The sequence below is a fragment of the Homo sapiens genome, chromosome 6, assembly GCF_000001405.40.
Source record: "Homo sapiens chromosome 6, GRCh38.p14 Primary Assembly".
Taxonomy (NCBI): Eukaryota; Metazoa; Chordata; class Mammalia; order Primates; family Hominidae; genus Homo; species Homo sapiens.
The window spans coordinates 150,262,137-150,277,558 of NC_000006.12; the positions used below are offsets into that span (position 1 = coordinate 150,262,137).

The 15,422-nt window shown below is 46.3% G+C and overlaps 1 long non-coding RNA gene across 1 annotated transcript in view, besides 3 other annotated features; it reads left to right on the forward strand.

Annotated features, from left to right (window-relative positions):
- Window positions 1,997-2,497: an enhancer, noted in NCBI's record as "H3K4me1 hESC enhancer chr6:150585269-150585769 (GRCh37/hg19 assembly coordinates)". NCBI's record gives its function as "activates a minimal SCP1, AML or CMV promoter by ChIP-STARR-seq in primed H9 embryonic stem cells {active_cell/tissue: H9 hESC(primed)}" and the evidence as "EXISTENCE:reporter gene assay evidence [ECO:0000049][PMID:30033119]".
- The window catches only part of LOC105378054 (uncharacterized), a 36,714-nt gene continuing 28,567 nt past the window's right edge, over window positions 7,276-15,422 (forward strand). The window contains exon 1 of the long non-coding RNA XR_943109.3: window positions 7,276-7,834. This is a non-coding gene — a long non-coding RNA (uncharacterized LOC105378054). The remainder of the gene's footprint in view (window positions 7,835-15,422) is intronic.
- Window positions 9,223-10,255: a transcriptional cis regulatory region, noted in NCBI's record as "candidate enhancer chr6.5240 targeted for multiplex CRISPR interference". NCBI's record gives its function as "positively regulates PPP1R14C gene expression with high confidence in K562 cells {active_cell/tissue: K562}" and the evidence as "EXISTENCE:mutant phenotype evidence [ECO:0000015][PMID:30612741]".
- Window positions 11,454-11,954: an enhancer, noted in NCBI's record as "H3K4me1 hESC enhancer chr6:150594726-150595226 (GRCh37/hg19 assembly coordinates)". NCBI's record gives its function as "activates a minimal SCP1, AML or CMV promoter by ChIP-STARR-seq in naive H9 embryonic stem cells {active_cell/tissue: H9 hESC(naive)}" and the evidence as "EXISTENCE:reporter gene assay evidence [ECO:0000049][PMID:30033119]".

Genomic DNA, 15,422 nt, shown 5'->3' on the forward strand with positions numbered 1-15,422 from the left:
TCCAGGATGCCTCGTGTCCACAGCAGTGAGAATTTGCCTTCTGGCAGTGCTTCCCAAAGTCACCTGATCCTAGGACCCCTGCGGTGGGGGTGGGTAGGGGCATTGTTAAAAACGCAGATCCCTGAGCCTACTCCGTGGTAGATCCACCACCCACGAGCCATTCAGTGCCCACAGGTGAGTCTTAAGATGACCTTGCATGTTTGGGAAACTCCACAGCAAATACTTTCTGTAAAAGGCCAGATGGTAAATATTTTAAGCTTTCGGTCTCATCCGAGCTCTGTCACCCCTTCCCCACCCTCCTTCTTCATAACCCTGTAAAATATTAAAAAGTCATTCTTAACTCTAGCGCTATACAAAGACAGGCTGCTGGCTGGATCGGCCCGGCACGGTGTGCTCACCCTGCTCTGGGAATTGCTGAGGTGAGACGCTCCATGTCTCTACATTGACTAGATATTGTCAAATGCTCCCAGGTGATTTTACAGCTGCAAAGTCTGTGACCTCCCTCTTCTTCCTGGTCGTCTGTGACCACTTTTCCCACCATTCTCACTCTGCCTTTTTTTGACATGCAGTTTGCCCATTGCACCGTTTCTTTATATTACAAGCACTTCTTGCCTGAACTCAGATTTTTATTGATTATGTTTGAGGAGCAGCATGCCAGTCTCTCTCTGTATAAAATCCTTCTACAGGCTGGACACGGTGACTCACACCTGTAATCCCAGCACTTTGGGAGGCCGAGGCAGGCAGATCACGAGGTCAGGAGATTGAGATCATTCTGGCCAACATGGTGAAACCCCATCTCTACTAAAAATACAAAAATTAGCTGGGTGTGGTGGCATGTTCCTGTAATCCCAGCTACTCGGGAGGCTGAGGCAGGAGAATTGCTTGAACCAGGGAGTCAGAGGTTGCAGTGAGCTGAGATCGTGCCACTGCACTCCAGTCTGGACAATAGAGCAAGACTCCATGTCAAAAAAAAAAATCCTTCTACAATGAGCTCATCACTGCTTCCAGAAACCTGTATGGCCTTGTCAGGCTGTCCAGTGTGGGAACTGTGCTCCCCACAAGAGTTTCAGCTCCAGAACAGATGCCATTATCAGGACAGATGTGACAGACAGCTCTCACTGAACACATAGCCACGGCATGCTGGAATTCCTTGGCATTCTTTTGGGAGATGCTAATTAAGGCTTCTGGTTTTTATGATTATCTAGGGTAGAAAATGTATGGGCAATGGAGGCAGTCCTGAAAAATTAAGAAAATGTTGACAAAGCCATGAATAAAGCATCAATATTTGTAAAGAAAAACATATAGTCAGGAACTTTCAAAAAATGAAAGAATCCAGGTCATTGGCAGTGGGGCCTCCAACAAGCTCATGCCAGTCACACTTAACAATGTTTAAGTTAGAATAACAGGAGGGGAATGGGTTGGCTCTGTTTGGATTAGAGAAGAAAGCACCTTGTTCTCAAAATCAAGTTGTTGGCTTGAATAAAACCTGGAATCCTGGAAGACCAGGGAAATGTGACATGGCCCCGTGGCCCTACAGGTGTGATGTCATTGGTTTCATTAAGGCAAAGGGGTAGACTGGAGGCTGCTACCACAAAGCCTTCTGACAACAATGGCCGCTGAGCTCCCTGTACTGCATGAGGTGGGAGCAAACAGGAAAGTCACCACCAGGCAGCCAGAGGAACTTGGCAAAATAGGCAGTTTTGGCCTCTGGGTCATGTAGACAAGGAGATAGCTAGAGCAAGTCCCAGACACAGCAAGGAGGGCTGCTTGCTGCCTGACAGCTTTGCGCAACTGGCTACACCCACCCCTTCTATCCTGTACCCCTGCATGTATGCACAAGGTGAAGCATGCACAGGATGCCATGTGCACAGGATGGGGCATGAACAGCATGCCGCATGCACAGGATGCCACATACACAGGATGCCGCATGCACAGGATGCCGCACGCACAGGATACCGCACGCACAGGATACCGCACACACAGGATGCCGCACGCACAGGATGCCGCACGCACAGGATGCCGCACGCACAGGATGCCGCATGCACAGGGTGCCGCACGAACAGGATGCCACACGCACAAGATGCTGCATGCACAGGATGCTGCATGTACAGGATGCTGCATGCACAGGATGCCACATGCAAAGGATACCACATACACAGGATGCCACATGCACAGGATGCTTTGTGCACAGGATTCTGTGTGAACAGGATTCTGCATGTACAGGATGCTTTGTGCACTGGATTCTGTGTGAACAGGATGCCGTATGCATAGGATGCCACACTCACAGGCTCACACTCTGCTGGCTCCACTGGCATTCTGTGCTCTGGATCTGCCTCTGACTTTCCCCACATCTGTTCCTCTACAAGGAGACACCATTTGGGTACCACTTCTCCCAAATGACACTGTGCCTACCTCAGCAAACAGCATGCACATCTTTGAAGGCCTGTTTCAGGCTATGTGGTAGGTGCAGGTGGTTCCTTCCTTGCCTCTCAAATCACTCAGTGGCCTGCTCAGCTGCTGGAAAGGAACAGCCCCGGACACACATTCTGTGCAGCCACAGTTCTGGACACAGTTCCACCACAGGACTGAGGAGTAGCCATGCTGACTCGGGTCACTCACCTCCTAAAGACATTGCAGGACAAATGGAAAATACCTCCTTTCCTTCTGTCTCCATGCCAGCAGTGAGCTAACAGGAACGGGTCCCTGTATCTGTCTTCCTTTGTCCTCCATGTGCCAGGGGCAAGGACAGCCCAGGCAGTGGCAGTATAGTGACTACCTCCTGAGCTGGCCCACGGTGTCCACAAGCTGGGCATGGTCTGCATTCAATCCACCTGAAGATGAGCACCTCATTTTATTGTTCCACTTTGAGGCCAATTTTGTAAACTCTGAAAGAAAAAGAAATCCTTGGCTAACATCTGTAAAAAACATACCCTTGGCATTTAATAACTGACATTAGTGTGGCATTTCATTGTTTTAATTTTTTAAAAGTCATTTGATATTCTCATCAACTCTGTGAAGCAGGTGAAGCGAATACTGTTATTTTTTAAAAAAATTATTGTCCCCTTATAGATGAAGAATTTAAAGCTCAAAGACAATTTTAGGCCTTCCTGAAATTTTTGAAGGGCCCAGATCTGGTATGTGATAAATCTGAGACTCAGGGCCAAATCTTAAAAATTACTTAATCCTATGATTTTTTTTTTTTTTAACTAGACCATTGGTTGTATTGGTCAGGGTTCTCCAGAGAAACAGAACCAATAGGACACACACACACACACACACACACACACACACACACACACACACACACTTATGTGTATTTATAAAAATGTATTATTTTAAGGAATTGGCTCATGTGAGTGTGGGACTGGAAAGTCCAAAATCTGTAGGGCAGTCTGGGAGGCTGGAAACTCAGGTGAGTGCTAATGATGCTGTTTTGATGCAGAATTTCTCTTTTGTGGGAAACTTTAGTTTTTGCTTTTAAGACCTTCAACTGTTTGGATGAGGCCTACCCACCAACGTCATTGAGATTAATCTCCTTTACTTAAAGTTGACTGATTATAGATGTTAACTATATCTATAAAGTACTTTCTCAGCAATACCTAGATTAGTGTTTGATTAAATGATTGGGTATTATAGCCTAGCCAAATTGATACATAAAGCTAACCATCACAAGTATACCATAGAAATTCTCCTAGTAAAAGTCTCAATTTTTGCCGGGCATGGTGGCTCACACCTGTAATCCCAGCACTTTGAGAGGCTGAGGCAGGTGGATCACCTGAGGTCAAGAGTTCAAGACCAGCCTGCCCAACATGGTGAAACCCTGTCTCTACAAAAATACAAAAATTAGCTGGGCATGATGGCAGGTGCCTGTAATCCCAGCTACTCGGGAGGCTGAGGCTGGAGAATTGCTTGCACCCAGGAGGTGGAGATTTCAGTGAGCTGAGATCACACCATTGCACTTCAGCCTGGGCGACTGAGTGAGACTCTATCTCAAAAAAAAAAAGTCTCAATTTTGTGGCTGGCAGAAGTAAGAATGAACACATAGAGGGATAAAAGGTGAAACTAAAGATTTCTGCAGTGGTCTGTATTCCATTGACAATGTGTCCCTTGAAGGTGGGTCTTCATCACATTCAGCCTTGGATCCCAGCACCCAGCACAGTGCCTGCTATGGTAGGTCATCAGTAACCATGTGTCCAAGGAATATGTCTAAGCCCACCTTATTATCTCACAGATGCTTATCATGGAATTAACCATAACTTATAAAATAGTGGCTGCCAGGCCTTTCCAGCCATAAGAGATGTGCTCTGGAACTGACTGTCTGGTTCCAAGTGTAGCCTCTCCATTTTCCAGCTGTGCCACCTTAGGCGAGTACCTAACCCTCTCTGTGCTCCATTTCCTTCATTTGAAAAATGTAGGTGATCATTGTTTCTACATAGGGTGGTTGTGCAAATTGAATGAGTTGATTCATATGAGGTACTTAACTCACTCAGTGCCTGGCACATAGAAATACCCAATAAATGTAAGCTATTATTCCTATTATCATGTACACATATGCCCTAAATTCTTTTGTGTTGAGCCCCACATTCTTCACTTGTAGGAAATCCAGACTTCACAGATTGTTCTTCCTCAGATATTTTCCAGATTCCTGGGTTACCAGGAATAATTGTACACATTGGAAGTAGATTGATAAATATATAATTAATAAGATTTTGCCTTCTGGAAAAGAATCCCTCCAAATTAAAACAATCATGATTAGCCTAGTGTATTAGTTTGCAGGCTGCCATAAACGAAGTAGCAAAAACTGGGTGGCTTAAACAACAGAAATTTATTGTCTCATAGTCCAGGAAGCCAGAGCCCAAGATTAAGATGTTGGCAGGGTTGGTTCCCCCGGAGCGCTCTGAGGGAAAATCTGTTCCATGCCTCTCCCTGAGCTTCTAGCCTCAGGCGTTCCTTGGCTTGTAGGGAGCTGTCTTCTCCCCGTGTCTTCACATCGTCTTCCCTCTATAAGTGTCTGTCTCTATGTCCAAATTTCCCCTTCTTGTAAGGATGCCAGTCATACTGGATTAGAGTCTTCCTGATGACTTCGTCTTAACTTGATCATCTATAAAGACACTATGTCCAAATAAGGTCCTATTCACAGGTGCTAGGGGTTAGAACTTTAACATCTTTTGGGGGTAACCAGTTCAACCTATAACACCCTGCTTTCATACTGGGCCCAGTAAACTGTAAACTGTGCTTATATCTTGGCCCCAAAGTAATGCCCTTTAACTGGTGAATAAATTCCTGGTTTCAAGGTATTTATGTGCAGAGGACTCCAGCTGACTAATGTTGAGGGCCATGTGCTGTTATTTTAACATTTACTGTTGTTATATTTCAATATCTTTTTTATATCTTACAATAAGCCCTCATTTAGTTGGTGATGCTAGTGGGAAAATATGGGTTGGAAATAAAACTAGAAATAAAAAAACTATGATGAAGGCCAAAACCATGACACACACTATGCTATTACCTTCAGAGGAGAGGAGGCTCCGTGAAATATCAGAGACACTGCCAAAATAATTTTTACAAAGCATTATTACATGGTTGTTGATGTACACACTCTGAGAAGTTATTTCCCTTCCTTGCATTTATTTCCATGTAAAACTGACTTTGGGTTATACAAGGACTTTGGGCTGAGTCCCTCGGTGCAACACTCCAGCTCAGCACTTATGGAATGCTGCATGCCCGCCCACACATCTTCACCCGCGGCTCCATTGGATGAAACATCATTTCCTGAGATATCACCCTGAAATGTATAGGGAGGCAACTGTCACTATATCATGTAGATGCAGTTACTGAGATACACAGAGCCTAGAGGCTAGTAAAAGGCAGGGCCCGTTTGTGCCATAGCCTCCGGTGGAAGAGCGTGGGAGAACAATAGAACCCTTCCATGTGTACAACACTGAGTTCAGAGTGTTCAAGGAGCTGGTTCCAAAGTTCTTAGAAAGATAGCAAAATCCGTAATGATGGGAAAAGATGGAGTTACCCACTGTGGATCCATTCTGCAATGTTTCTCCTTGAAGTGAGATCAAATGCCTGAGCACGAGTTGTCCTGAGGTCTCCTCCTTTTGAAAGAGATTGGCCAGAAATCAATTGCCTGATTGAAGTCAGCCTTGCTGTTAACTAAAGATCAAGCCAGATGGCGCAGGTCACTAAAGATGACTGGTTCTGCCCCTGCTGGGAACAGTTCTTGGGCCAGCTGCTCTAAGTCCCCCGCCAGCTTTCCACAAATGTCTGACCATCTTGTCACCCTCTTCCTGCAGACATGATCAGACACATTCCCTTCCCCTGAGCCTGTCTGTAGGGAACTGTGCAGTGCCAGCAGAGTTCTGGAAGGATGAAGTGCTGAGTCTCTGTTGGGTACAGACACATCCAGTTACTGGCAGGACAGAGTAGTGCTGTGGGCATTTAATCAAGATTCTGTTAGGCAGGGAGGTGTGCTGAGGCTGGAGTTCAGCAGGGAATGAGAGCAATTGCTTATATTTCCTGAGGAGCTACGATGGCCAGCTCAGCACTAAGTGCTTCATATACATTACTTCATTTAATTCCCACAACATTCCAGTGAGGCTGGTGGGTACTAGTACTGCTACTGTCCCTTTTCACAGAGAAGGAAACTGAGGTTCCAGGTCATAAAGAAGTTGCTTAAGCATACAGCTAAGAGCAGGAGAGCCAGGATGTTAGCCAGTTGGTCTGATTCCAGAGTAAGGTCTTCAGGTCTTGGAATCAGAGTTGGTCTGATTCCGAGGTTGGTCTGTCTGCAAAGACATCAAGGAGTTCACAGTGCAGTGGGAGAGAGAGACAAGCCAGCTGGGATTATATGAAATGATATGAGGATATGATATGGTAATGTGATATGATATATTATATGATCTGGTATAATGATATATGATGATATGATATGGTATGATGATATGATAATATGATATGGTAAGATATATATGGCCTGTGATGAGGCTGTGGAAACAGGGAAATAACACTGGATGGAGTCTTGTGGGGGCAGGGAGATCATGAAAGCATTTCCAAAGTTGGAGTTCTAGCTGTGTGTCCCCACAGCACCCTATGATGGTTAATGTTATGTTAACTTGACTGGGCCATGGGATGCCCAGATATTTGGTCAATGTTATTCTGGGTATTTCTGTGAGGATGATTTTGGACAAGGTTAACATCTAAATTAAGAGACTGAGGACAGCTGATTGCCCTCCCCAATGCAGGTGGGCCTCGCCCAATCAGCTGAAGGCCTGAAGAGAACAGAAGGCTGAACCTCCTGTGAGTAAAAGTCCTCCTGCCTGGATGCTTTCAAACTGGGACATCAGCTTTTTTTCCTGCCTTCAGACTCGAACTGAAGGATCCACTCCACTCTTCCTGGGTCTCCAGCTTGCAGACTCCCTCTGCAGATCTTGGGACCTGCCCACCTTTATAATTACGTGAACCAATTCCTTATAATGAATCGCTTTATTTGCACACACACACGTCCTATTGGTTGTTTCCCTGGAGAGCCGTGACTTGTACACACCCTGTTCTTATTCTGTCACAATGCCTGTTACAACATCTCAGCACTGGCCATTTAACTGCATCTCCTACTGAGCTGGAAGCTCTGGTGGATAGGGGCAGGTCTGCTCATTCACTGCTGCCTTCCCTGCACCTGGTACCATGCACACAGAATAAGCCTAGCAGAATGCCTGTGGATGGACTGACCAATGAAAGTAATGAGGTGCTGGGACCCGAAGGCTGAGTGGCATGAGTCATGAGGAGGCATAGGTGGAGTTGGAGGTGGGAGGAGGATGATGTAGCAAAGGTAATGGCATGAGTCAAGCGTCTGGCTGAGAATGGGCACAGTGAGTCTCAGACATCAGTGACTCCAGCAGGGCTGGAGCCTGCAGGGGGGTGGCCAGTGAGGGGGAGGGGAAGCTGGATGGTTGGATCATGAAGGGCTTTGCACAAAAGTTAAGCAGTTCGACTTTATCCTGCAGGAAGTGGGGGTGGCTAAAGAGTTGACAGATTCTGAATCTACCTAGCCGTGTGACCTTGGCCAAGGTATTTAACTCTGGACTTGGGTTTTGCTGTTGTTTGGTTAGTTCGTTTCTTTTTTCCATTAGAAAAATGAGGGAAGTAATGTGTCTGGGATGGTTGTGAGACTCCCATGGGTGTGTCGAGTGCTGTGTAAGGGGAGGCATGCTGGACATCTAAAGGCGCAGTGGGCATGGGGCCCACCTCAGCCTTGGCACACAAGCAAGTCCACAACATCCTTCTCCTCTGAAGGCTGACAATCGGCAGAATGTGATGAATGACTGTCTGATGGCATCAGAGAGTTGCAATGCTGTTAAAAGAAAAACCTTAGACAGATTAAGTTTAACAGAGTTTCATTGAGCAAAGAACAAACCTCAAATCGGGCAGCACTGAATGAGAATAGGTTCAGAGAGGCTCTGGCCCAGCCACATGGTCAAAGAAGATTTATGAATAGAGAAAGAAAAGTGACAAACAAAACGGAAGTGAGGTACAGAAACAGCAGGATGGGTTACAGCTCTGCATTTGCCTTATTTGAACATGGTTCAAACACTTGGCCACCTGTGATTGGCTGAAACTCAGCGCTTGGCACAAAGGTTATAGTTGTGTACAGCCAGCTAGATTACAGTTCACCATGTACAGAGAAACCTGGCTGAACTTAAAAATGTAAGGAGGCAGCTTTAGGCTAAACTTGATCTAACAATGCTTTCCCCATGCGCCTGGCATTTCTGTCTTGGGAGCATCCAGATGAATAAATGACGTCTAGGAAGAGTCCCAAGAGTCCCTGGGAGAGACTCACAGGTGCATGAGAGAGGAGTCTGTTTTGAAAGCAAGGCCCATTGAATTCCAACTAGAAAAATCTCCGTTCGTTTAAGAGCCATGTGTCTCCCTGCACTAGTTTGGTATTAATATTTATCCATGTTCTTAGTATATTCAGATCAGCTGCTGACAAGGCCTTTTCATTGATCAAATACACTACTCTATATGAAGAAACATAGAGATTGAGTGGATTAAATATATATCTCAAAGCCTTCCAAACCCCACTTTGCTCCCAAGATAACTATTTTATTTTTCTGAGCTCTCTAGAGGAAGAGAGGCAGATTAGTTTTCCCAATGGTGTAGTGACCAGGAACTCCAGAAATCTGGGGATCAGCAAGCCACTGCACCATTACAGGGCTCCAGGGTCCTACTCCTTAGCCACACTCCAAGGACCAGGAATAAGCCATTGCAAATGCTAGTTCCAGGAACACGCTGACCCAGCTGTGATCCAGGGATCAAAAGCTAACACCAAACCTGTTGGCTACAAAGCTTCCTGTGAGCCCTGCCTCCCTTTCTACTTAAATGAGTTCCTAATTCAAGGCTGCATGAGGGCCTTTGGGTGGCCATTCACAATCACAAGGAAACCTCAGTTGCAGGAGAGTCTGGGATATTCAGTTTGCAATATAAGAAAGCCCTTAGCAGAAGGTTGGGATAGATAAAGAGCTGCCATATTGTCACTGATAAACTGGGTTTTTTCACCACTTTGTGTCAGTCACAAAAAAAGAACATCCAGCTGGAAAAAGCAATCAGGCTTTATTCACTAGCCAAGGAATGGAGAAGGTGGCTCTCACTCGAAAGGTAGCTTCTTCCCAAACAATAGAAGGTGTGGGGTTTTAAGGACCAGGTGCAGGGCGAGAGAAGCGTGTTTGCATGTGCAGGGCGGGACTCCAGATATGCCTAATTCATAAATATATATGTTCATATATCACCTGTACACAAAATGGTGGAGATTTTCCTTTGGGGGAGGAAATTTTAGCATTATAATGATATGTTAATGATCTGAAGGCAACTAAGGGTCATCTATTCCGGTTTGTGCTGGTTTTGTGGCATCTTATCTTCCTCTGCTCTTTGGTCAGTGGTCAGTAAGCTCTGGTGCCATCCCAGGCCTTCTGGTTTCATTAAGCAGCTGTGCCTGTAGATAAAGGGACTAAAAGAAAATAGAAAAAGGAACTTTCCCAGTGACGTCATCAGGGCTGCCCTGGTAAAAATACTGGCTGCCCTGAAGAAGACCTAGATATTCCTTGTTCAGTGTATGCCCTGAAAGATCAATGCTGGAAGCTGGCAAGAGGGAACATTCTCACTAGCTTTCTATTTTAAACAGACATGATTTAATATATTTACCCAGAAAGGTCTGAGCACACATCCTCTACTCTACCTTCCTCCCCAAACCCCACATCCCAGCAAATCTGTACTCAAGGCATTCACAGTTTGCAGAAATGATTTGCTAATCCAGGCTGGGGCAAGCCCCAAGAGAAGAGCTGACAATGACCAGTTTTCTGGGTCAGAGGCACAGAATCGAATGGGCCAGAGGGAGCCCATTCATCTCCCTTTCTTCCTCTTCAAATGTTGCTCCCTGACCCTTTATCTAAGACTGGATGGTTGATGGTCAATAAAATTGAAGTTCCTAAGCTCCTAAAGAGGTTTATGGAAACCGGCGTTTAGCTGGTGTCTCAGTGTGGCTGGTTGGTTCCTAACCAGTCTCTGCTTCTAAACTTTACCTCCAGGGCCAGGCGGGTTCAGGCACGTTCCTGGCGGAAGGTGCTCTGATGCTGTGGAAGACAGTTTCTTCATGGATTCCAACTGCTTGATTTGTGGGAATGACTCAACCATGCCTGTTCTCCCCCACCTTTGATGAGGCATCTGACACTGAGTTAATTCATTTGCATGGTGTAGACTATAGTAAATCCAGTGTTGGGACACTGTGTCATCTTCTTTCTGATTATGATGGTAACAAACGCTTGCCATAGGAGACTGGAAAAATCTATCCTATAGGAATATTGGAAAATCTATCCTGTAGGAAGAAAGAAAAAACTCACCTAAACTTGTACCACACACTGTCAAATCTGGGCACTTTTCCTTCTTTTTGTCTTTTTCCCCCTAAAGCCACAGGCGTTTAAAAACAACCTGAGCATGAGTCAGCCTGTCTGTCCACATCTACATACATGTGATCGAGGCCCTCATCTTGCAGATACAGATCTATTCTCTTGCAGAGACTCAACCTTGGACAATATCATTGCTTTCCACTGCAATATTCATTACTCCATCAACAAATTTTTATTTTTTATTCTTTTGAGACAAGGTCTCACCCTGTTTCACAGGCTGGAGTGCAGTGGTGCAATCATGGCTCACTACAACCCAAACTCCTGGGCTCAAGTGATCCTCCTGCCTCAGCCTCCTTAGTAGCTGGGATCACAAGTATGCACCACCATGCCCAGCTAATTTTTTTTCTTTTTCTTTTTTTGTAAAGATGGAGGCCTCGCTTTATTGCTCAGGCTGGTCTCAAACTCCTGAGCTCAAGCAATTCTCCCGCCTTGGCCTCCCAAAGTGCTGGGATTATAGGCGTGAGCCACTGTGTCCAGCCAGAAAGTTCTATTTTGTATAGCTAGCTTAACAAAACTGCTGCAGTGCTAGCCCCTATTCTTAGTCTATTGCCCATCTGGCCTCCACTATCTGGAAGATAGACAGAAGAGCCCACAACCTTCTCCAGACAACAAAGAAACTGGCCGGTGAAATCATCAAGAGGCTAGCTGGCGTCTGGGGGGTGTGAGGGAGTGCATTGCATTAATGAAGTCTTTTTATTCTTGGAAAAGTGTTTGGACAAAGGCTGTGCTATGCGTATGGCGTCTCTGCAGCTCCTGGACATATGCTCTGACTGTGCTACTTCTGCACACGAAAGGTCAGCATATGGCTTCCTTTCTCTTTCCCCGAGGAAAGTGACAGGCTGGTCATGGATGCCTCACCTGCTGTTGCTCTCGCTCTGGAGAAAGAAGTGTTGGAGGCATCACTGCCAGTAAATCTTCACTGGGCTCCCAGCAGGCCTGGCCTAGCTTGACCCCTTCATGGGTAACAGCAGAAGGCCACCTGCTGCTCCGCGGCTGAGCAACCAAACAGCACAGCTGCTGAGGTTAGGGTTTGAGGTGAAATATAGCCACACACATCTCCCAGGGTCACACGTGGGTAGCCTCAAAGGGCAAATAGGTCTTGAAATGATGGTCTCAGGGGAGAAACCACTTCCATGGCCTGTTCTCGAGCTGTCCAGCTTGGCAGGGTGAGAAAAGTCTGCAATGAATGGCCTTCCTGGGTCTTTCCGTCAGAGCAGCCTGGAGTGTGTGCTGAAGGTGAAACAGCCACCCCAGCGCTTCTCCTCCTCCTCCACACTCCTTCGTCCTTTTAGGTCCCTTGCCCTACCTTTGTCCTTGTTATTGCTGACAGTCAGAGCATCCAGGAAACAGAGCTGGGAAAGAAAGAAACCAGAAGGGAGGAGAGGGGCCTAAGATTGAGGGTTTGGAGAACAGATTAATGCTATGACCTTCAGCCGCCTGGGGACAAAAAGCACCTTCCAGAGAGAAGCCATTGAGCAGTCGCTGACGTTGCATCCATCAGGCTCGTACTGGTTGTAGGATTTGATTTTTAAAAGGCACATGTTTATGACTACGTGGCTTTCTTGTCCCACTCTATAGCAAGCTAACTGAAAGCACTTTCCCCCGTGTCAATCAGTTAAAGAGAAGGCTAGCAAATATGTCTGTGACAGAATAATCTTGGTGTTTCCTAATTTCCACTTCATGGCACTGTGGAAAAAGACATCTGAAGGTGCTGTGGAATTATATGGACAAGGCTGCAGGCAGATGGCGAGGCCGTGGAGAGATTCGACTTGGAACCTATTGGGAGGATATAGGGTGGAGACGCGTGATTCTGGATCATGTGAACCCAGGATGCACGTGAATTTCCTGCATCACCTAAGGAGGAAAGTGGGGAGGCTGTTGAGCGAAAGCAGCTTGAAATTCTTCTTGGGATCCACGTTCACGTAATTGATTCCTTCCTTCCTTGCTCCTTTTTTGCCTTTCTTTTGTTGATTGATTCTTTCTTTCATTAATCAAAATCTGTCTTCAAGGATCTCACCTTCAGCTCTGGGAAGAAAGCCCATTAAGCAACCTCAAGGCAGTAAAGAAGGCAGGAAGAGACAGGAATGGTCAGAGTATATTGAAAAACGTTCCTCAGTCAGTCTCCCAAATGTTCGGTGTATGCTGGAATCACCTGGGGTTCTCTGTACCGATGCCGTCTCGAAGACCAGGGGATCTCAGGTGGTGATCAGGAATCTGCATTTCACCAGCCCCTGTCCCCACCCCATCCCCAGGGCATGCTTTTGGAAATCTGCTCACAACGTGTCCCTCCCCCTCCTTCCTGCTTTTATTAACTAGATGTTAAAATGCTTGGAGTCACACTCAGGAGTGTGTGGAGTCTTCTCGTGAGACTTAGGTCCTTGTTTTTTAGCACCAAGTAAACATTTCTAGCCTTTCTGTTTCTTACAGAACAATCCATTTCAAAGCCATACCTCCGAGGGGGCAAGGGTTTTCTCTAGACCATGCAACATCACTGTCTCTGGCCCTGCGGCTGTTGGAGCGGTGGGTACAGATGTGCTGAAGGTGCCAGTTCATGCCCTGAGGCTGCTGCTGAGCTGCTCGGACTGGAAACCAGCACTGAGCCTTGTGTGCACAGAGAAAACCACTGGGGAGTTCAAAGGACAAAAGACCCTTTCAACTTCATCGATGCCTATGGCAATGGCTTGGAGAATAAAACCAGTGCTTTTTTTTTTTTTTTTTTTGAGAAAGAGTCTTGCACTGTTGCCCAGGCTGGAGTGCAGTGGCACAATCTCGGCTCACTGCAAGCTCCGCCTCCTGGGTTCACGCCATTCTCCTGCCTCAGCCTCCCGAGTAGCTGGGACTACAGGCACCCGCCACCATGCCTGGCTAATTTCTTGTACTTTTAGTAGAGACGGGGTTTCACCCTGTTAGCCAGGATGGTCTCGATCTCCTGACCTTGTGATCCGCCCGCCTCGGCCTCCCAAAGTGATGGGATTACAGACATGAGCCACCACGCCTGGCCAAACCAGTGCATTATTAACACATGTTTCAAGCCATCGAATGTGGACCTGCAGTCTTAAAGCAGATCCCAGAACACCTTAGCTTGTATTTGTCCCTGAGGCCTGGCAGATGCTAGCAGTCCTGCCCCTCACTTTCACTCCTTCACCCTGTTTGACAGGCTAACCCCTAGGATGACCATATAATTATTCAAACCACATAATGTTGAGAGTGAAAAGGATGCAGTGGAATTGAACAAAAATGTATACCAGACTATCCTGGGCACACAATCTAACGCTCACTTTCTTAAGAGAAGAAATATGAGATGGTCAGTGTAAATGAAGATAAACTCTGTGGCTCTGGCCAGTTTGATAAGAGGAGTGAGGAGAGATGTATATTTCTGCCATGTAATTCTCAGCCCAGAGGAGGCTGAGGGGCCAGCCTTTGCTCTACCGCTACTTAGCTATGAACTTTGGGCAACTGCTGGCCTCCCTTGTCTCGTCTCCTGCTCTGTAAAATGGACTGACCTTCCAGATCATTTCTGGGGCTCTGTACTAATGAAGGAGTTGTGGGTTCCCGTTTCCTTTCTCCTTTTTCTCCCTCTTTTCCTCCAGCACCTAGTCCTCATTTTTGCATCAGCTTGTGAACTGCAGCACCTGTGGTTATTAATATTAATTTCAAAACTCCTGTTTTAACATGCAAAGTGACCCAATTACGAAATCAAAATTGATTTTAATTGTTAGCATGCCATTACTATACGGTATTCTATTCTCAGTTGTTTACATGCCGCTCTCCTCAAGCACAGTGTATAATAAGTCCCTTTCCGTGAGGCTGGGAGCTTACAGATTCCTTTACTGCAAAGACCTGCATAGTTGGAAGGTGCCAGAGAAGTGAATTATAGCAACTGAATTGAGCTCTTCGAGTTCTGGCAACAGCCAGGAAGCTAAAAAGAAGCTTTGTCTTAATGGTGGCAGGAGCCCAGAACTGCCTCAGTTTAGAGTGATTAAGAGTATTTCTGAATTTCACCCTACTGCTGTCTGAAACAGCAGCCAAGATTGAAGGGCGGGGGTGAAATGCTGCAAACTGCACCAGGAAAGGGGAGGATTAGAGGAGACCGAACAGCTTCCCTAAACCCTTACTGCTCTATGCAGAGGTGATGTCACCAGGAGCTCTACAAGACATAGAGATGCTTTAGGTATGCAATTTGCTAATGTCTTGATACAGCTGCTTATTTAAAATCATCCTTAGGGCCGGGCACGGTGGCTCACACCTGTAATCCCAGCACTTTGGTAGGCCGAAGCGGGTGGATCACCTGAGGTCAGGACTTCGAGATTAGCCTGGCCAACATGGTGAAACCCTGTCTCTACTAAACATACAAAAAAAATTAGCCAGGTGTGGTGGTGCATGCCTGTAATCCCAGCTATTTGGGAGGCTGAGCCAGAAGAATTGCTTGAACCTGGGAGGCGGAGGCTGCAGTGAGCT